General features: G+C 36.8%; 2 protein-coding genes across 8 annotated transcripts, besides 1 other annotated feature; one reads left to right on the top strand and one right to left on the bottom strand.

Annotated features, from left to right (window-relative positions):
* C12orf60 (chromosome 12 open reading frame 60) lies at window positions 962-21707 on the bottom strand. 6 transcript variants are annotated; one of them, XM_011520569.3, is made up of 3 exons: window positions 21053-21101; window positions 14949-15010; window positions 962-2465 (listed from the first exon to the last, which is right to left on the bottom strand). In XM_011520569.3, exon 3 carries the CDS (start codon window positions 2439-2441, stop codon window positions 1704-1706), a length of 738 nt encoding a protein of 245 aa, XP_011518871.1. In that variant the 5' UTR covers window positions 2442-2465; window positions 14949-15010; window positions 21053-21101; the 3' UTR covers window positions 962-1703. The 6 variants fall into 6 exon arrangements, with proteins under 6 accessions (XP_011518871.1, XP_016874363.1, XP_016874362.1 ...); XM_017018874.2 differs by lacking the exons at window positions 14949-15010; window positions 21053-21101 and adding an exon at window positions 21511-21707; XM_017018873.2 differs by lacking the exons at window positions 14949-15010; window positions 21053-21101 and adding an exon at window positions 21603-21707.
* On the top strand, window positions 11195-20727 carry SMCO3 (single-pass membrane protein with coiled-coil domains 3). Of its 2 annotated transcripts, XM_017019312.2 has the most exons (3): window positions 11195-11251; window positions 14851-14936; window positions 18681-20727. In XM_017019312.2, the coding sequence occupies exon 3, from the start codon at window positions 18697-18699 to the stop codon at window positions 19372-19374; it is 678 nt and encodes a 225-aa protein (XP_016874801.1). In that variant the 5' UTR covers window positions 11195-11251; window positions 14851-14936; window positions 18681-18696; the 3' UTR covers window positions 19375-20727. The 2 variants fall into 2 exon arrangements, with proteins under 2 accessions (XP_016874801.1, NP_001013720.2); NM_001013698.2 differs by lacking the exon at window positions 14851-14936.
* Window positions 21364-21603: an enhancer, noted in NCBI's record as "active region_6057". NCBI's record gives its function as "activates an Ori minimal core promoter by ATAC-STARR-seq in GM12878 lymphoblastoid cells {active_cell/tissue: GM12878}" and the evidence as "EXISTENCE:reporter gene assay evidence [ECO:0000049][PMID:35858748]".
* Window positions 21708-21750: the final 43 nt, after the last annotated feature.

Raw genomic sequence — 21750 nt, 5'->3', positions numbered from 1 at the left:
GAAAATGAGAGGAACCCAAAACCAAAGTATTTGAGAGAAACATTAAATGTGAGTAATAGGTTTGAGAAAAAAATACAGCTTTTCCTCAGTATTTCCAGAAGCCAGGAGGCAGCAGCAGACATGATGTCATTAGAGTGGTCAGACTGGTGGTACCCAGTGGTGGGAAAATGTGAAACACTGTAAGTGATCACCAGCCTAACAACAGCCACCAGCACTGGAAGACCACTCATCTTTATTGAAGTGGGCACTTCCCATCTCTAACACCCTGGTTGTCATTCCCATTGGCATCTGGCAAGGACTTCCTGTGAACTGCCACCAGCTATTCTTCCAGTCACCTCACAGAAAGACTATGCACCAAGACTTTTCTTGGTCCTTGTCTCATTCATTTCCATATGAATCCCCCTAGCTGTTGCATCCAACATTCTGAAACATAATCCTAAAACTAAAAGGAGATTGAAACCCTAGACACATATAGGTCCAGAAAAAGTAGCAAAGTGAGAGTCCTGTCTCCCTTCTCCTCTCTCTCACCCTCTGTGTGTGTGTGTGTGTGTGTGTGTGTATGTGTATGGTAGCAAATGAATCAATTTAACATCCTCTTCAAAATAATAGAGTTCTTAATAGAAACCTATTACAAATAAGCAAGGTTTCAGCTTTGCTGTGGAGAGAAAATGAGAGTTAATGTATTGAAACTCATCGTTTTTTCCAGAACCTCCAAGCTCTGGTAATGGTCAAAATCCACTTGACCCTCCCTACCAAACATTTTGAAATTATATGAGGATGGAGAAGGGACTCCTTATTTTAAATGACAATGGGAATTACAATGATGGCTTTGGCTTGGAGTTATTATTGCTTTTCCTATTCTCAACAGAGTTCTATCAGGTATCATGTGAAATAGTTAACTTCAACACCAATCTTAGGAGTACATACTCATTTACAATGCATGAGAACCAAAGACTTATGGTAGACAAAGAGACTGCCCTATCTCATTTCTTTAAATAAAGCACATCTCAGATATCCTACTTCTGCAAGTGTTTTCCTTGTGAAAGTCTTTTCTTTGTGAAAGGCTAGAGTACTTCCATTTTTCCACCTCTAGTATTTTCTAATCATAAGACCTCAGGAGACAAGTGAGAATGAACTATCTGTTCTGGTCTTACTCACATAAGCAAGAAAAGTCTATTATTGCTCATTCACTGTTCTCACTTACTTATGAATCATATTTAAAATATTTAGTGATGGCTTCTGATCGTCAAGGTACTGAAGTATATAGAAATTGGTATATGAGTGACAAAAATGGAGTTTATTTTGTTTCCCAGGCCTAGATTTTCTATCTAATGATAATATTTACAGTTTACCTGGATTTCTCACTGGAAATAGAATAGTTAAGAGTGGGAACTACTTTAGGGTTGTTTTAATTATGCTTTAAGATGAAACACAATATTTAGAAACATCCTCAAATGTAATACCACTTTGTTTTTTTCAACAATATATTCTTCTTAGTGACTGACATTTCAAACAGGCTTTCTTAATTATTTCTTTTTATTTTAATAAAGCAAAACTACAGGTAAATGTTTTGCCAGATGACTTTTGTGTACTTATGTTCTAACATAGCACATGTTTGGCACCAAAAGATCTTAGAAACTACTATGAAAAACCATAAGATTTTAAGTAGTTTTCTGACAGAAATGAACATTTCTGTTGCATCCCTACTTGTCACTGGCTTTCTTAAACACAGAAATATTCATTTCCATAGTCTTTATCGCTTTTTGGAGGATCTCTAAGATTGGTCCCATAGCCTTGACAATTTGTTCCAACAAATCTGCTGCTGACTTTGTGGGATTTTTGGAATCCTCAGTTTTTAGTACATCCTGCAGTTTTTTCAAGGTGTCTATCATAGTGGTTTTGGAAGAACCTGGAGGACTTCTGGTTCTCTCAGATGTGGTGACATCTGATTGCTCTTTGGTGTCTTCTGTATAGAAGTCACTTAATTGAAGATTCATGATGGGGAATTTCATCAAGTGTGAAAGAGAAGATTCCAGACTCCCAAGGATGTTACTGCTGTTTAGCACAGAGATGATGACTGGCGTATGGGCACTTTTGAATACTTCTTTAGCTGACTGATGCAACTCCTCTACATTGGTACTCTTCTGAACCACAGAGCACATGGCCATTGCAACCTTGGAACATAAAGACTCCTTTTGAATTTTGTCATGTCTTGCATCCACTACAGATTGCATCTCCTTAAAAATTTTGAGCATTTGCTCAAAAAAATCCTTAATGTAACTATTGTTTTTCACAGCCATCAAAAGGATTTGAGTATTCATACTGCGGCTAAACAATTCAGTCAGTGTGTTTATGACAGAAGCAAGATCTTGTACATGAAAGAAGAACATTTTGGCAGCTTGAATCAGTCTCTCTTTATCCTTTTCTGACTCTGAAGACATTTCTCCAACAAATAAGTTCCAACACTGCAAAGCAAAGCAGTAATCCAAATGAAAAATAAAAGTCGATTTGGCAACCATAAAGAAACTGAAAGTATAGTCTAAATATGAAGATAACTCCCCCTGCCAAGGGCAGGAAAGCTATACATACGTTGAAACAAAAATGGTACTATGCTTCAATAAAAATAATAACAAAAATAATTAAAACAGGGTAGAATAGGGTTGTATCGCCAAATTTATACCACATATCAAATACTGGGTGCTGGATCCCGAATATATGGATAGATTGATATACTGAATTACACTACACTCAAGGATACTACCCTTAACTATTCAATGTAGTGAAAAATACTGGATAAAGCATTACAAATTACATAGAGGGGCTCTGGTTCCAGTTAAGGTAGACTAAGCACACTCCATCTGATCTTTCCTACTGATTACAACTAAAAATCCTGGACTGAATATATAAAATCACTATCAGATAATTCTGAAAGGTGGATGACAGAAGGCCAAGGAAGTAGGGAGTACAGCATTTAAAGGACAATAAAGCAATGAAGCTCTGACTTTTTGTTTGAGGGTGTGTTTTTCTGTGTTTGTTGTTGTTGTTGTTGTTGTTGTTGTCGTTTGTCTTCTCCTGCTTCCTATATATCCCATCTTGGGCTCTAGGGCAGCCTGGAATTAGAACTGTGAACAAGCCCAAACAGGGAAAGCTCCAAAATAAACCCACTCTACACAGCAAATCAGGTGCAGGGGCTCTGCCGGGCAGATCCCTTTTGATCTAGTTGCCAACAACAAAATGGTAGCCCCCCCACCCCACCCTCTGTCTGCCCCCAACTAGTCGTGACCAGAGGCAGCTCCAAACACTTTTGACTTCGAGCGTTAACAAGTAACAGCAGTGCCACCCACCCCCATCCCCTACTCCCCACCCCACCCCCACACACACCTCACAAGTACAGCAGAGGTCAGCCAGTCCTTTGCCCCTGCCCCTGTCAACTGGCAGTGAAAACGCTGTCCTTATGGGGTGGACCCCTTTTCACTCTTCCCACTCTACCCTAGGCAGAAGCAACTGTGGTGCAGGGATGGTGGTAGTGACCTTGCAGGCTTCTTTCTCTCACTGCTTTGCCCCCAGGTGAGAACCAGTTGCAATGGGAAGAGCTGAAATTGTTTTCTAGCCAGAACACCAGGAAAGGGGACCCCCGGGAATCAAACAGCAGGTGGCAGACCACAGAAAGAAGCAAAAATTATAACCAAAAAATAGCACTGTTGGGATTTTCAATGCATGTAGACTTAATGTATATGACAATTACATCATAAAGGAGAGAGGGTAAGGAGACTTACGTAGCTGAAAGACTTCTTGATTTTACTTGAAGTGATAAAATATTAATTCTAAGTAGATTGTGTGAAATGTGGAAGTATATTATAATCTCTAGAGTAACCATTAAAAACAGAGCAGGAAACAATGGGGCCATGGAAGCAGAAATGGAGGTGATGTGGCCCCAACTTAAGGGATGGTCATGGCCACCAGAGCTGGAAGAGGCAAAGAATAGACTCTCCCTCAGAGCCCCCAGAGGGAGAGAGGTCCTGCTTGACTTCAGCCTTCCAGCCTTGAGAACTCTGAGAGGGTACATTTCTGTTGTTTAAAATCACTAAGTGTGAGGTAATTTGTGACAGCAGCCCTAGGATACTAATTCAGATTTTCGTCAATAGGCAAATTAAAATGAAATTTCAAAATTATTTAAGTAACTACTTATATTACTCAAAAGATGGCTTGAAAAGGAAAACAGAGAAATTTGAAAAACAGAACAGAAAAACAGAAAACTAAGATTAAATGTTACACTTAATTTAAGCATATCAATAATTACATTAAATATGCATTTCTAGAAGTAATAACTAAGTTTCACAAGGTTGAAAAATACAAGATCAAATGTACAAAATCAATTGTATTTCTATATACTAGCAACAAAATAAAAATCAGAAATTAAAATTAAAACAATGACCTTTACAATATCATTAAAAATATGAAATATTTATAGATAAATCTGACGAGAGATCAAATATCTCTACACTTACAACTGTAAAATACTGCTGAGAAAAATTAGGGAAGACCTAAATAAATAGAAAGATATATATTGTTAATGGGCCAAAACACTCAATATTGCTAAGATGTCAGTACTCCTCAAACTAATTTATAAATACAACACAATTCCAATTAAAAATTCCAGCAGTTTTTTTCATATATGTAAAAGACAATAAATCTTCTCTTAATAGAATTAAAATAGAAGTCAACAAAGAAGATACATGAAAAATTACAAAATATTGTAAATTAAACAACACACCCTTAAATAATCTGTGGCTCAAAAAAGAAGTCACAAAAATATAGAAATTATTTTGAACTGAATGAAAATGAAAATATATCAAAATCTGTGGGATGAAACCAAAGCAGTGTTTAGAGAGAAATCTGTAGATTAAGTGTTTATATTAGAAAGGAAGATATAAAATGAATAATTTTAACTTCTATCTTAAGAAGTTAGAAAAGAAAGAGCAAACATTCAAAGTAAGCAAAAGGAAAAAATAATAAAGAGTAGAAATCAGTGAAATTGAAAACAGAAAAAATAGATAAAATCCAACAAAACTACAAAGTGTTTAAAGAAAAACCAATAAACTTTAAGCCAGATTGACCAGAGAAAAAAGGAGAGAGAACACAAATTACCAATGTAAATAATGAGATGTCACTATGACCCTACAGATATAAAAAGGATAACGAGAGAACACTATAAACAACTCTGAGTGCATAAATTCAACAGTCTAAATATAATAGGCCTATTCCCTTAAAAGACATAAGCTATGGAAACTCTTCCAAGTAGAAACAAAAAACTTAAATAAACCTATATTTCTTAAAGAAATTGCGCCTGTAGTTAAACACCTTCTAGAAGAGAAAATCAAGGCACAGATGGTTTCACTTGTGAATTCAAACAAACATTTAAAAAAGAATAACAATTCTATACAATATCCTCCAGAAAACAGAAGGGAGAATACCTCTCAACTCATTTTATAAGGCTACCATTGCAGAAAAATAAGAAAACTCTAGACCAATATTCCTTAAGAACAATTTAAGGTGTATCCCAAAAATGTAAGGTTAGTTCAACATTAAAAAATCAAACTAAACAAGAAAAACCATATGATCATATCAGTAGATGCAGAAAAGGCATTTTTAAATATTCAATATCCATTAATAATAAAAATTCTTAGCAAACTAGGAATATAAGAAAACTTCCTTAATCATAGAGGGCTCTTACAAAGAACCACAGCTAACATAATAAAAGACTAGTTGCTACCCCCCAGGATTGGGAATTAGTCAGGTATGTTCACGTTCACTAGTTCTATTTAATATCATACTGGAAATCCTAGAAAGTGATGTGGGACAAGAAAAAGAAAATATTCAAATTGAGAAGGAAGAGATAAAACTACCTCTCTAGACAACATGATGTCTACATACAAAATCCCAAGGAATCTACACAAAAGTTCTTAGAGCTATTAGTAATTTTAGCAGATGCAAGGTCAGCATTCAAATATCGATTGTTTTCTATTCACTAGGAATGAACAATAGGGAACCAATCATTTGTATAAGTATCATTTATAATACTCTCTCAATAAAATACTTAAATATAAATCTAAGAATATATGTGCATAATCTGTGCACTAAGATTTTAAAAAAATAAAATTCTGAAGTAAAAAAAATCAAAGAAAATGTAAATAAATGGAGAGATAAACTCTGTCCATGAACTGAAAGACTCTATATAGCAAAGATGTCAACTCAAACTCTGTCCATGGATTGGAAGACTTATGTAGTTAAGATGTCAATTTTTCCCAAATTACTCCACAGAATTAATGCAATCACAATAAAAATGCCACCAAGATTCTTTATAGATACAGAACAGTGAATTCTAGAATATATATGTAAATGTAAAGGAACAAGAATAAACAAAGATTTTTCTAAAGGAACAGAGTTAGAGGACTCACACAATCTAATATTAAGATATACCACAGTAATTGAGACAGTGTAGTATTGGTGATATGTAGACCAACCTAACAGAACAGGAAGTCTAGAAAAAGACCCACAAATGTGGTCAATTGATTGTTTTTGTTGTTGTTGTTTTGAGACAGAGTCTTGCTCTGTCACCAGGCTGGCGTGCAGTGACGCAATCTCAGCTCACTGCAACCTCCGCCCCCAACCAGATTCAAGCCATTCCCCTGCCTCAGCCTCCCAAGTAGCTGGGAGTACAGGCACACACCACCATGTCCAGCTAAATTTTTTGTATTTTAGTAGAGAAGAGGTTTCACCAAGTTGGCCAGGATGGTCTCCATCTCCTGACCTCATGATCTGCCTGCCTCAGCCTCCCAAAGTGCTGGGATTACAGGCATAAGCCACTGTGCCTGGCCGGTCAACTGATTTTTAACAAAGATGCAAAGGCAATTTAACATAGAAAGTTTAGGTGTTTTCACCCTAGAAGAAAACCTAGGCAATACCATTCAGGACATAGGCATGGGCAAAGACTTCATGACAAAAATGCCAAAAGCAATTGCAACAAAAGCCAAAATTGACAAATGGAATCTAATTAAACTAAAGAGCTTCTGCGCAGCAACAGAAATTATCATCAGAGTGAACAGGCAACTTACAGAATGAAAGAAATTTTTTGCAATCTACCTACATGATAAAGGTCTAATATCTAGAATTTACAAGGAACTTAAACAAATTTACAACCCTATCAAAAAATGGGCAAAGGATATGAACAGACAGTTCTCAAAAGAAGATCTTTACACGACCAACAAATGTATAAAAAAGAAAGCTCAACAACACAGATCATCAGAGAAATGCAAATCAAAACCACAGTGAGATACCATCTCATGCCAGTCAGAATGGAGATTATTAAAAAGTCAGGAAACAACAGATGCTTGCAAGGGTGTGGAGAAATAGGAATGCTTTTACCCTGTTAGTGGGAATGTAAATTAGTTCAATCATTGTGGAAGATAGTATGGCAATTCCTCAAGGATATAGAACCAGAAATACTATTTGACCCATCAATCCCATTATTGGGTATATACCCAAAGGATTATAAATCATGCTACTATGAAGACACATGCACATGTATGTTTATTGCAGCACTATTTACAACAGCAAAGACATGGAACCAACCCAAATGCCCATCAATGATAGACTGCATAAAGAAAATGTGTTACATATACACCATGGAATACCATGCAGCCATAAAAAGGAATGAGATCATGTCCTTTGCAGGGACATGGATGAAGCCAGAAGCCATCATCCTCAGCAAACTAACACAGGAACAGAAAACCAAACACCACGTGTTCTCACTCATAAGTGGGAGTTGAACAATAAGAACACATGAACACAGAGAAGGGAACAACACACACCAGGGCCAGTTGAGGAGTGGGGGGCGAGGGGAGGGAACTTAAAGGATGGGTCAATAGGTGCAGCAAACCACCATGGCACATGTATACCTGTGTAACAAACCTGCACATTCTGCACATGTATCCTCCCTTTTGTTTTGGAAGAAATAAATAAAAACAAAAAACAAAGAAAGAACAACAACAAAAAAAGAAAGTTTAGGGTTTTTCAATGAATGGTGCTGGAAAAGCCTGATACCCATATGCAAAAACATAAACCTTGATTTTATGTCATACCATACACATACATAAATTAACTCAAAATGGGACATGAAAAATATAAAACCATAAAACAGAAGAAAATACAGAAGAAAATCTTGTAACTTTTGGTTAGCTGATTAGTCCTTTGATATGTATGACACCAAAAGCATATCCATTAAAGAAAAAACGATAAATTGGCCGGGCATGGTGGCTCATATATTCTTAGATTTATATTTAAGTATTTTATTTTAGTGTAATCCCAACACTTTGGGAGACTGAGGTAGGCAGATCACTTAAGGCCAGGAGTTGGAGACCAGCCTGCCCAACATGGCAAAACCCCGTCTCTACTAAAAAATACAAAAATTAGCTGGGTGTGGCACACGCCTGTAATCCCAGCTACTCGGGAGGCTGAGGGAGGAGAATTGCTTGAACCTGGGAGGCGGAGGATGCAGTGAGCCAAGATGGCACCACTGCACTCCAGCCTGGGTGACAGAGTGAGACTCTGTCTCAAAAAAAAAAAAAAAAGAGAAAATATAAAGACCTGATCAGCAATTTCAAATGCTGCAAGTATGATAAACACTGTAAATTATTTCTTATGTTTAGTCATTACAATGTCATTGACAATGCTAGAAAAGCAATTTTGCAAGAGGCAGGAATATGTACAGAAGCTAGATTATAAATACTGGAAAATTAATGGAGAAAATGAAGTAGAGGCAATGCATGTACACTACCAAACTGGGAAGTCTAACTGTGAAGAAGAAAGATAAAGGAGGCTATTGGGTCAAAAAGGTGATTATTTTTAGGTTTGCTTGATTTTTTTTTAAGTGCAGCATTCATAAGTGCTGGCAAATTGTTGAAACAATCGTAATTGAATCGGGCAGTTTATTCAGGGTCATGTAATATATGGTTTTTGAGCAGAGATTTTAGGAAAAGAAGGGGATGAGCTTTAGGATAAAAGGGAAAATAAAGCATTCTAAATAAAAGACGATCAAGTGAGAGCTACATGCAGATAAGTTTGGAGATATTATTGCTTTCACTCTCATTTCCCACCACTGTCAATCCAGCAGTGAAACTTGTCAAATCAGCCTTCCTGATTCCCTAAAACCACCCTGACTCCAAGATCTACACTAAGAAAATGTGCCTCCTTCCTAAGGTTCAGTTCTGACTATTGACTTGACGTTAATACTGGCTTTAGTAGTCAAGAAAGATTTAAGAAGTTCAAGTTTTCAACCTGAGAAACTGATTGCAGAAAAAAGAAGTTCAAGTTGATTAGGGGGCTCAGTATGAAGTCAATATTGCTTCTAGTTTTTCTCTGATAATTATTTTGCATTGTTACTGTTTATCCTTAATTTTGGCAACTCCACTTAGGCTGCTATGTGGTAGGAGAGAAAGGAGTGGATGAGTAGGCAATAAATGTTAAGAAGGGTAGAAATAGGAGAGAAACAAACACCTTAGGAACAAGTGGGTTAAATGGTACTCTTCAACAATAGCCTCTTCGGAAACAAAATGCAACTGTTTTAAGACAGGGTAAAAGACAGACATATTTTGTCCACATACTGTAGGCAATGGGGTTGGTAACTTATGCTTTATTGTCCATACCTACTAATCAAGTTTACATAATGTACCCTTCCTGAAATCCAAATCTCCAAATATTACACCATAATTAAAAGGATTTTTTAATGGTTCATTATTATCTACAGAATGAAATACAATTTCCTAGCATGACATCTAAGGCTATCTACAAACTATTTTCAATTTTCCATGACTTACCTTCCCTTAACTGCTCCCACTTACACCCTGTATCACCAGCAGGTTGGTTTTTGTTCCCTGAAAATGTTCTACAATTTTTGGTTCAGCTCCTTTGCTCTCAGTGTTCCCTCTATCTGTATTATTTCCTCTATACCACCATCCTCCCCAAACATCTATTAAAATCCTACTTAACATCCATACCTAGTTCAGATACACTGGCCACACATCCGTACGTGGTGGGGCCCTGGATACATCAAGGGCAAGATGATCCACTGGGACAAAAGTAGAAAAGTGACCCCACTTAGCCCTTCTTTAGAATCACAGGGCAGCATCTTTAGATTTTAAAGTTTCCTGTCTGCCTGTCTGGCATTTTGATTCTGTATCCTGTACCCACCCATTCTCCTCTCCCCTCCACCAGGAGATACTGTTGTTAATATATGAATAGCTACCGTTTCATAAGATTTTGCCACATATCAGCCACTATGCCAATTACTTTATAAACACTATCCCATTTAATCCATAAATTATTAACTAATACTCATATTACACCAATGGGAAAACTCAGGCTAAGTGACTTTCTTAGGATTACATGACTAGTAAGTGGTACTTGGAGTACACAAAACCAGGACTGTCTGAGTGTAAAGCCTGCTGTCTTTCACTAAGTTACACTGGGGCTGAGTGATTTCCCTGCCACTCAGGTGTCTTTGCTGTGGAGGAATTAACGGGTCTGAAGACTGAAGCTGGGAAGAAGCAGCAGGGAAGACTGATCTGAGCTTTCAGGGAAAAGAGTGAAGTTGGACTTTAAGGTTTTTATATTGTCAAGACAATTTACAAACACAGGAAGAGAAAGAATGACAAAGAGGAGAACTCCTAGCTGGAAAGAAGAGAAAAAAAAATTGGATGCAAGTAACTGCATTTATATATCTTGAGAATTTAAATAATCAGCAACAGTTAGAGGTGCAAATGCAACAGAAGCTAAAAGAAACTTAGTATCTGGAATAGTTGACAAGATAAAACCCCAAAATCTGAGAGCTGCAATCAAAGAGCCATCTTCTCTACTAAATTGAATTAGCTCAGTTATATAGCGCTTCTCAACAATAAAAAGTCCATTAAAGAACAGAAATTTAAAAATAAGTTTTACACACTATTAGTCTTCCAGTTTATATAACTTAATACTGTATACTAAGTTTTTATTAATAGGAAATGAAGGAATTCTGAGGGCCAAGCCATGTAGAAATAGCCTATAAACCAGACAGGCAGAGGGACCCAGCAGAGACTAGCAAAGTCTGTAAGTCATCACATTCCATCAGAAATATCCAGATGAAACCAGATGAAAAAGCACTTTAACAATACTCCTAAACAACTGCTAGGACCACGGAACTCAGAAACACAGCAAGGTAAGCAACGTGGATATTTCTATTAGTATTGATATAATACTCTGTTTCTCAGTAGTAGGAGGAATTTGAATTAGCCCGTCAGTCTTGAATCCTAACCATAAATAAAATAAAGTAAAAAAACAGCTTTGTTATAAGAGGATCCCATGACATGTTCCTTGTGATTTGGAAGGAACCTTTCCTGGTGCCTTCTCTGAAGACAGCAGAGAAGGAAGAAAATTAACAATTTCTAGGACTGATTAAGTCAGAGTGGAAGAGAAGCAGTAAAGACATCAATTCTAAGAAGGATTAAGGATGAAATGATACCTGTGTGAATGTGTGAAGTTTACATGGATAGTAACATTTCCTTCTATGTCATTAATATTAATATAGGCACTCAGTACCTATCTATGAAAGAATGAATGTGGAATCTAATACTGGTTAATGTATAGTACTTATACTCCTTCATAAATTATGTTGTATCTAAATATCTCTGAGCATTTGCTGTGTGTCTCCAAACAGGCTGTTATCGTCTTGAGGGCAAGGAACATTGTCGTTTTCAAATGCCTCAAGGGACACAGTAGAGGCTTCACCAGTGAGCACTTGATAAATGCTGATGAATGACTTTAATATTCTTCTTTCTGGTCAGAAACATTTTTTAAATGAATTTATATCAGAAAGTATATCATCACATCATGATCAATTTTTGTTTTAATTAAAGGCCACAGATTTTTATTTGAATTAAAGGAGACTCAGAACTAGTTAGAAGCTGTTATTTTCTTCTGAAAAGCTCCTGATTTTACCTATACCCTATTTCCACACTCCCAGATAAGGAAACTGTGCATGATGGCAAAACCCTGTTTGGACAGTGAAGAAAAGTGACAGCAAGAAGAAATGTAAAACCTCAGAGAGCACTAACGACTAAACATCAGAGGTTTAGACAGGGTCACGTTTTTCTTTTTCTTTCTTTTTTATTTGTTATAAGAAAAGTTCAAACATACACAGAAGTAGAGACAATAATATAATAAACTCCCATGTACCCATAACTCAGCTTTAAAAATTATCAAAACAAGGCCAATCTTTTTTCCTCTATAACCCTACCCCACTATTCTTTCCAGATTATTTGTGAACAAATCTCTGAGACCATTTCATTTCATCTTAAATGTTTTCAGTATGTATTTCCAAATAGGCAAGAACTTCTCTTTTTGAAATTTAACCTTACTCTTCCCAAATCAACAATATTTAAACAGGACCATCTTTGACTGGGAAATATACCAGCACTATGCTCAGTATCTGGGTGACAGGATCATTCACAGTAAACCTCAGCAACACACAGTATAGTCAGGGAACAAACCTGTGTATGTACCTCCTGAATCTAAAATAAAAATTGTAAAAATTTTATAGCAGGATACCCAGTATCCTGCTATAAAAATTTATTTGGGGTAGCACAGTAAAAGCTTTTGGAATGCAATTTACGATACATATCAAAAGTAATAAAAATTTAATTCCCATTACTTATGCCACTAATTATGTAATTCTTCTAGGTACTTATGCTGAGGAAATAATCCAGATAATGGAGGAAAAAAAATCTGTGGGTATCAAAATGCTCATTAGAATATTAGTGATAGTGAAACAATTTTAGATTTATTGAACCAGGGTAAAGACAGGGAATAGTATACGTAACCAATAAAATTTTTTTTTTTTTTGAGACGGAGTCTCCCTCTGTCACCCAGGCCGGCGTGCAGTGGCACAATCTCGGCTCACTGCAAGCTCTGCCTCCCAGGCTCATGCCATTCTCCTGCCTCAGCCTCCCAAGTAGCTGGGACTACAGGCGCCCGCCACCGCGCCCGGCTAATTTTTTGTATTTTTAGTAGAGACGGGGTTTCACCGTGTTAGCCAGGATGGTTTCGATCTCCTGACCTCGTGATCCGCCCGCCTCGGCCTCCCAAAGTGCTCGGATTACAGGCGTGAGCCACCACGCCCGGCCAAATATTTTTAAAGCTATAAATAGGGGAAAGTGTTAAGTGAATAAAAGATGAATTTTATTTATACTATTATGATAACTTTGTGAAGATACTTATGCATATAAACAAATTTTGAAAAAGAATAACAAAAATCAAAAGTGAAATGGTAGGTTTATGGGTGTTTTTCCTCCTCTATTTAAAAAAGTGTATATGTTACTGGTAATAAGTATATATTTAAAAATCGTTTTACCAAACCGTTCACTTTTAATTTCTCCATAATGTACCATCTATCAAAGTATAAATCATATATTGCATTCTCCATGAAGCTTTCTCTAATCACCTTGATATTAATTTCTAAGTTCAACAGCACTTGACAGTCAACGCACTACTGTTATTCACGAAAGTACCCTGAAGAGTTGTATTTGAACATATGATGATCAGTACATTTTCATTTTGTAAGGTAGTTCCTTTTCTGAAAAACTAAAACAACTGTATGATGTCATTAAATAAAACTTAACTTTTAGACACAATTATCAGCATATTTCTACCATATCTTAGATGCCCTTTAATCTTAAATGTTGACTTCTCAATTCAAAAAAATTAACAAGGTTAGGTGCAGTAAGCATCCATCTCAAGCTAACCTTTGTCTCCATTTTCATTTCTTAAGGTGTGCTGACCAATGACATCAGCACTTTCAGATGTTTTTTGTCATTTTTTAATAAAATAACAAGTCAAAAATTTCCAAACTTTGTTTTAGCAACAGAACTCTCTCATCAAATAAAATTTTACCTACCCAGAGCCCAAATGTGTAGAGCAAGAGAAAGCACAGCTGCTCCAGTCCAGCAAAGGCCCAGGTGAAAAATGGGAGACCCAGAGACCAAGAGCTCCACCTGCTGTCTAGCAATTCCCAATGGGCTGCTCCAGGGCACTACAGAACCCATTTCATGGATAACTACAAGAAAATATTCAAATAATAGCACAAACTCTGTACAAAAGTGGATGGTAATTCCCCAAGTGGAACTTTTCACCAACAGGAAGCACCATCATGTGACAATTCAAATTATGTAAAAGTTCAAACTTACCATACAATAGGTGTAGTTAATTAGAGCTGGATTAAATATACCACTTGCTGTTGGTGCTACAATCTTTGAAAGTGACAGGTCATCAATGAAAATGGAATAAGATGGAGAAAGTATATGGCTCAGAACTCCTCTCGGGCACAATATTATGGGTTGTTTGTAAAATATCACTTGAAGCTTGCCTGAGTAACAACTACGATCTTTAAGAAGGGTGACTCCAAATAATTGCAGGGCTTTTGTTTTGCTGAGTGGAGTAATCACTTTGGGAGTCAGAACTAAATTGTTAAGGGCAATAGCGAAAATACTGCACACTGCCAACTATGGTTCTCCATGTGGTGCCCAGCCTCTCCTCAACTGTCAAGCACATATCTAAGAATACTTGAAAGGTTACAAATTGTTAACCTTACTAGATGACTAAATGTCTCCACATGGCCACAGTGCCAATATATTATATATTAAAGTGTGGGTTGTTTAAAACAAATTTGCACAAGTCAAATACCAAGTGTACCTTTAATTTTGTACGACATATTACTTTCAACTTGATATTACAGTTATAAATCTGTCTTAACTTCCTAACTAGATTAGAAATTCCAAAAAAGCAAGGACCATGTCTTTTTCATCTTTGTATGCTTTGCAGAGTGGTGCTGGCATATGACCTTACACGTGGTAAGTACTAACCTATTAGATGAATTGTTAATGAATCAATAATTGCCTTCTTCGCTAAGCTCTTCAAACTTCACCTGTCCAAAACACAATTCAATGGTTTCACTTTCAATCCCCACCTCTCCTCTTCCTAATTCCCCAGTGCTTCTTATCTCATTTGGGGTGTAGAAATAACCTTGAGCTGTATTCAGAACTGGAGCTCAGACATACCTAAGCAGGTATGGTGGCAGGCCTGCTGAAGATATGTTAGCACAAGAAAACCCTCCCCACTCCCCACCCAAGGAAAAAAGCTAGGAAGGTAAGTCTGACTCAGAATAAAAGTCCTTTTTCATTATAAGGGAAACATAATTCTTAGCACATCATAACATTTCTTTAGCCAAACTCGTTATTGGAACGAAGTCATGAACTGATGTCTAGATCCCACGAAAAAGAGTCTAAGCGCAAGTGCAAGAGCAAGACTACTTAAAAGGAGGAAAAACATTACTTTAGTAGTTGAAAACGTACAATGTCTTACACTTTGATTTCTAGTAAGACTGAACTTTTCCCACCATTTTATTAGATACTATTTTTTGTACTCTGTTCAGGGTGGTTTGCTCATTTATATATTAGATTGTCACTGCTTTTTGAAAATAATAACAATACTTTTTTTGCATTCTCTCCAGCTTGTTTTCAGTTCTTTTTACATTGGCCATCTTTGTTAGTCAAATTTTTGCATGTGCTTTTTTTTTATTGGTTTTAGGCTTATAAAGTCCCACTCCATACCGATATTTGAAAATTATCCATTTTCTTCTAGCTATTATTTAATTTTCTACATATATTACACTAACAATTTTGTTATTAATTTTTAACTCCAAAGTCTAGCCCATGACTCAAGACCATTTATGGAGTAATAATTTCGATTATTATTGATTTGAGATTCTACAATTTATTATTATTAAACAGATAGAAGGGTCTGCTTTGGGGACTAATTTGTTCCATTAATTCACTGACTCTTGTACCTGTACCATACTGTTTACTATTTTGTTTTTATGGTGTTTTAATACTGGGGGGAGAAGAGTTCTATTTTATTTTCTGAAAAAAAATAAGGCTCACCTGTTCAGTCTTTCAGATACATTTTACGATTAATTCGTGAAGTTGTGCTAAAACAATGAGTTAATTGAAAAGGAGCCGACCACTTGGAAGCATTCTGCCTCCCATCCAGGAGGAAGGTTCATTTCTCCATTTGTTTATCTTGAGGTAGACAGAACCACCCACCTTTTCTGGAAACTATGCCTTCATATAATGGCATATGATAGCTGCTAGAGATATTTTGAACTTTTTCAGGATAAGAAAACTCCTCTCACCTAACTGTCTGAAAAGGAATATAGCTAATTTTCTCCTGTCAGTCAGAAACTAGAGTTTTCACTTCATAATAAGATCTGAAAACCGGGAGTCAAAAAAGACAAACGTTTAATGGAAAATTACTAGAAGAAAAAAGAAAATTCAAAGTCCAAATCTGTGCTTAGCAAATTACAGTTTCCAACCCATTGTAAGTTTAGAGAATATTTACTGGATCATCAACAAGCAATTTCTTTAAAGGGAATTGGATTAGGAAATTTTCTAAGTATTGTTTTGTGGAAATGTGTGTCTGTTACATGTGTGCATGCCTGTATATATGTGTATGTGTGCTGGATTTGAATCAAGGATAAAAATTAATTTCTGACCATGGTAGTTTATTTTACCAGGAGGTTCCAGTGCATTTTTCTAAATCTAACAACATACATGGTTATTTATGTTCCTAAACCATTTCAGAAAAATTTTCTCTTTTCCGTTGCCAACTTATATCCATACGATTTGGAGGATAGGTTATTTTCAGGTTTACTTTCTTGAAAGAAAAAAATCTTCATTCCTACATTCCATACTTCTGAGGTTCCCCTTAAGCAGAATAAGAACCGTAGTGCTAGAAGACATACGGTCCAAATTAATTACGATATTATTTACTCAAAAAGAGGCTGTGCCAGATTCCACATGGATATGGATAAAGAACTCCATTTTTTCTCTCTTTTCTCTCAAGAGTGTAATTTAAAAAAAAAAAGTACCAGCCACATAGGAAGGCTACTCAAAGTATGCATATTGAGTAGCATCGTGCTCTTACTGGCTCAAATTTAGATTTTTCACCCAAATAAACACAGAAGAGCATGACTGTTAGGTACTGTAGGCCAAAAGGACAAACACTGAAGTCTCTTGTCAAGTTTATTTTATTCATTCTATGATGTACTCTCAGTACTTTTTTTTTTTTTGAGACAAAGTCTCGCTCTGTTGCCCAGGCTGGAGTGCAGTGGCACCATCTTGGCTCACTGCAACCTCCACCTCCGTGTTCAAGTGATTCTCCTGCCTCAGTCTCCAGAGTAGCTGGGATTACAGGCATGCACCACCACACCCAACTAATTTTTGTATTTTTAGTAGAGATGGGGTTTCGCTGTGTTGGCCAGGCTGGTCTTGAACTCCTGGCCTCAAGTTATTCACCTGCCTGGGCCTCCCAAAGTGCTGGGATTACAGGCCTGAGCCACCATGCCCGGCCCCTTATTCTTTAATACTTTTGTAAAATGGCATTTTTTTTCTGACGTTCACTCTAGTTTATCTAAATAATGCCCAAGTGCGATACTATTTAGACTATTCTAAATAATTTAATTTATAAGCTTTGCAAATGGAGAATAATCACATGATTATCTGATTAACACTGTGCCCTGTATAGTGCCTACCTTCTCCCCACATGAAATTTTAATCCAAAGAGTCTTGAATATATACTCTTATCACAAGAAAAAATTTGTTAAAGATTCTAGCATGATATACATGTTGCCTTTGGATATCCTTTAGGTTTAGAAAACAAATAACTTGCCTGTAGAGATATATAAAGTGACTTGAATATTTTAAGTTAAAATAACCAAGTATTGAAATACAAAAAACAGCCCTGTAAATTTAGAGATGTTAATATTTATCTGGCCCTGACTAGAGTTTAACTCCAAATGCTAGAGAAATCAGTCTGGTAGGTGTGGTCAATGTGGTGACTAGGGGTTCGGGAAACTAAGGAGCACTAGTAATCAAGAGCTAAGCATTTCAAATTGGGGTCTGTTTCAAATAAAAGTTATTAAATATTACCTAGAAATAATCACGCTTATTAATAAACAGATGCTTGACAAACGATGAATATTTCTCACCACCACAAAATCTAATAACTTAATTTATCCATCAAAGGGTTGTATTCTGTTGCCTACACTTTCCATACACTGACTCCAAATTTCATAAAAATAACTGTTTTAAAGAACCTGCTGAGGGCGGGCACAGTGGCTCACGCCTGTAATCCTAGCACTTTGGGAGGCCAAGGCAGGTGGATTACCTGAGGTCAGGAGTTGGAGACCAGCCTGGGCAACATGATGAAACCCTGTCTCTACTAAAATACAAAAATCTAGCTGGGCATGGCAGTGTATGCCTGTAATCCCAGCTACTCGGGAGGCTGAGGCAGGAGAATTGCTAGAGCCTGGGAGGCAGAGGTTGCAGTGAGCTGAGATCGCACCACTGCACTCCAGCCTGGGTGACACAGCGATACTCCCTCTTTTAAAAAAACTTGTTGAGTGTTCTGAGGAATTATCCTTAGACAGCATCTTGCTTCTTTGCTATGCATGAAGAAAAAGATTTCCTAGTCCCTTCTACACAGTTAGCAGACATTTTTTAAGACTTTCAGTAAAAATTTACCATTTTATTTTTCAGCGATCATATTGGAAATATGGCCCAAAGTGACTTCCTTTACCCAGAGAACCCAAAAAGGCGGGAAGAAGTAAATCGTCTTCACCAGCAGCTTCTTGATTGCTTATCTGACAGCTTCGATGTCACCAATAAGCTGACTGAGGTTCTAAATATGCACTTGGGGTGCAGGCTGGCCTCCATTGAGATGAAAAGAGATGGGACCATCAAAGAAAACTGTGACCTCATCATCCAAGCCATTATGAAAATCCAAAAGGAATTGCAGAAGGTTGATGAAGCACTAAAAGATAAGCTAGAGCCAACCCTCTATAGAAAACTTCAGGATATTAAGGAAAAGGAAACAGACAAAATTGCAATAGTGCAAAAGGTTATTTCGGTCATCCTGGGAGAAGCTACATCTGCAGCCAGTGCAGTCGCTGTTAAACTTGTGGGCTCAAATGTCACAACTGGCATAATTAACAAGTTGGTCACTGTGTTAGCTCAAATTGGTGCTTCTCTCCTTGGTAGTATTGGAGTTGCTGTTCTTGGCCTTGGCATAGATATGATTGTCCGTGCCATCCTGGGAGCAGTGGAAAAAACACAGCTTCAAGCAGCCATCAAAAGTTATGAGAAGCATCTGGTGGAGTTCAAATCAGCCTCAGAAAAATATAATCATGCCATTACTGAGGTCATCAATACAGTGAAACACCAAATGAAATGAACAGCCGTTTTATTTGCCACTGAAGTGTTTTTCTGCTTCCTTTTCAGTAACAGTGTTTGCTTCTTTGATTAGGTTCATTTTCTATAGGCTTCCAATATGGACTTAAATAAGATAAACAATTTGGAGAGGGAAACTGGAGATGCCAAGACTAGATGACTAGATGAGTTTTGAGTCAACAATGCCTGGATCAGCTGATGCTAGACCCTGTGAGGTAAAAAAATTTTCTCCCTGGATGTTTTCACACCCTGCTCTACCAGATCAACATTGGGGTAAATGCTATCGTAGAGTAGCAAGTATAGGGGTTACTTTTCTCTTTTCTAATTTCAGTAAAATTCTTAAATTTCACATTGAATGCAGAGACTTTCATTTCTACCACCAGCTTCAAACATCATTTAGTTATAAGGGGACATACTCAGTAACTTCTGCCTAGACACAAACTCTAGGCCTTCGAATGAGACAGAAATACTACCATATTTTTGACCATCAGAGTAAATCTGGTTTTCTGTAAACTAGAAGAGACTGAAAAATGGTTTGTAACAATGTGCTTCAATTAGGACAGGAAGCTGATCTGTAAACGTCTACTGATTACACAATGTAAACCGGATGGATTTGAAAATGGTAAAAATCAAAACTAAAAACATCAAGGTCCTGTTTCAGTCACTGCAATCAACCCTGACCAACTGTGATAATTAAATATCGCTCAAGTGAATGTTCAAACACTGAAACATTTAGAAGACAAGAAAGCAAAACACAGCTACACATATTGCATTTAGGATGCAGAATAGAAGGTCACTACTCAAAGCATTTGTCATTTAAAAGAAAGTCATAATTTATTATAAGCTTTCAGAAAAAAGAATATAATTTCATTTTCAACACTAGCAAAAAGGAGGCAGCTGCCTTTGCTACATGACGCATTAGGTGGGCCATTTCACTAATTACCTGATTTTAGAAAACGCCAAAGGCTATGGAAGCCTATTAATGGTTCCGCTGAATCTCTGCAGATGTGTTTGTTTTCTAAATCCTTTGCCAACCAATAATTCCCATGAGGACTCTTTTAGTCTATACTGACAAAATTATTAATATGCTGTTGATGCCAGACTGTGTTTGTTATAGTTGATTCTCCCATCCAAGTACAAGAAATGTATTGAAATAAAAACTGCTCAGCATATCTTAAAAATAGTAGCTACATATAAAATTTTAGCTACATGAAAGACTTTAATATTTCCAACATACACTGTTTTCTCTTTCTCTTCTTGCATTGTTTTTCAAAACGAGTTGCAAAACTATGATCACTAATGTGTTAGGAAAGAAAAAAAACTAGTTGCAAAACATTACAACTTAGCTCACCTTCGCAGTTCAAGATTATTTTCTTTTTTATGTACTACCTGGTTTATCAGCTTTAACCTACAATATCTCGTCATTGCTTTCTGACACTCAAATTCAGTCTAAAATCAAATCAAGAATTTCCTAACACAAAGGTAAGTTTAGGTATAGGACCGATCTTATACCTTCAAGGGCAGTTTAAAGATTCTGCTAAAAATTAGTATGTATCTCCATCAATATTTTGAAATATTTATAACTGGTGGTAAGAATAGCCTTCCTACATGGGATAGTCAGGTTAAGATTAGAAATAACCAAGCGTATCCTCTAAGATAGTTTTTTAAATGTTTAAACTTACCTTTAAGGGAAATAAGTGGGGGCTGACTCACGGAAAGAGGGGATAGAAGGTAGGGAAAGGGCGAAGGCTAGAGTTAAGTGAAGAATCCCGTACGTAGAGTGACATCATAGAGGACTTTTGGCTGGTGAAAAGACCAGTCGGGAATATAGCCAATATATATCAACCTTGCCACTCATATAACTTAAAACCGACTGCATATGTATCCCCGTATTTCTTCTTCAAAACACTACTAACAAATAATAAATCACCGCCCATATAAGCAATCTGCGACTCTAATACGGGTGCTAATTTATTTGTTCAGGTGGTCTACAAACGTTCTGTTCTGCCTGTCTATTAAATTTCCACACGTACTAGGCGCTCACATGGGATAACCTGATGCTTACAAAGCGGATTAAACTCAGTGGCAAATGTTATCTGGGTATTCGTTTACACACGGAGACACCCCTAAAGGATCGCACCTGCTTGGGTCATAAGAAACAGAAAAATGCAAAAACTAAGGTAATTCCAAAAGACAGAAAACGCAGAACGCTTCTTTATCTGCAGAATGTACCGTTCTCGGACGGCTCAACGTACCAGGCTCCCAGCAACTAAGTCAAGATGCCTCCAACTCGAGAGACAGGACCGTCAGCCACTCAGTTAGCAGCTATCTTCTTCTAATTCCTATTGTACTAGATGAGCGCAATGAGGCGGGCTCTTAG

The sequence above is a fragment of the Homo sapiens genome, chromosome 12, assembly GCF_000001405.40.
Source record: "Homo sapiens chromosome 12, GRCh38.p14 Primary Assembly".
NCBI classification, from domain to species: Eukaryota; Metazoa; Chordata; class Mammalia; order Primates; family Hominidae; genus Homo; species Homo sapiens.
Note: the sequence above shows the minus strand (reverse complement) of the source record. Positions and strands in the feature narration are given on the sequence as shown.

Excerpts from the sequence above, each read along its gene's own strand:
- C12orf60 (XM_017018874.2), bottom strand. The coding sequence starts at position 2,441 with ATGTCTTCAGAGTCAGAAAAGGATAAAGAGAGACTGATTCAAGCTGCC.
- SMCO3 (NM_001013698.2), top strand. The coding sequence starts at position 18,697 with ATGGCCCAAAGTGACTTCCTTTACCCAGAGAACCCAAAAAGGCGGGAA.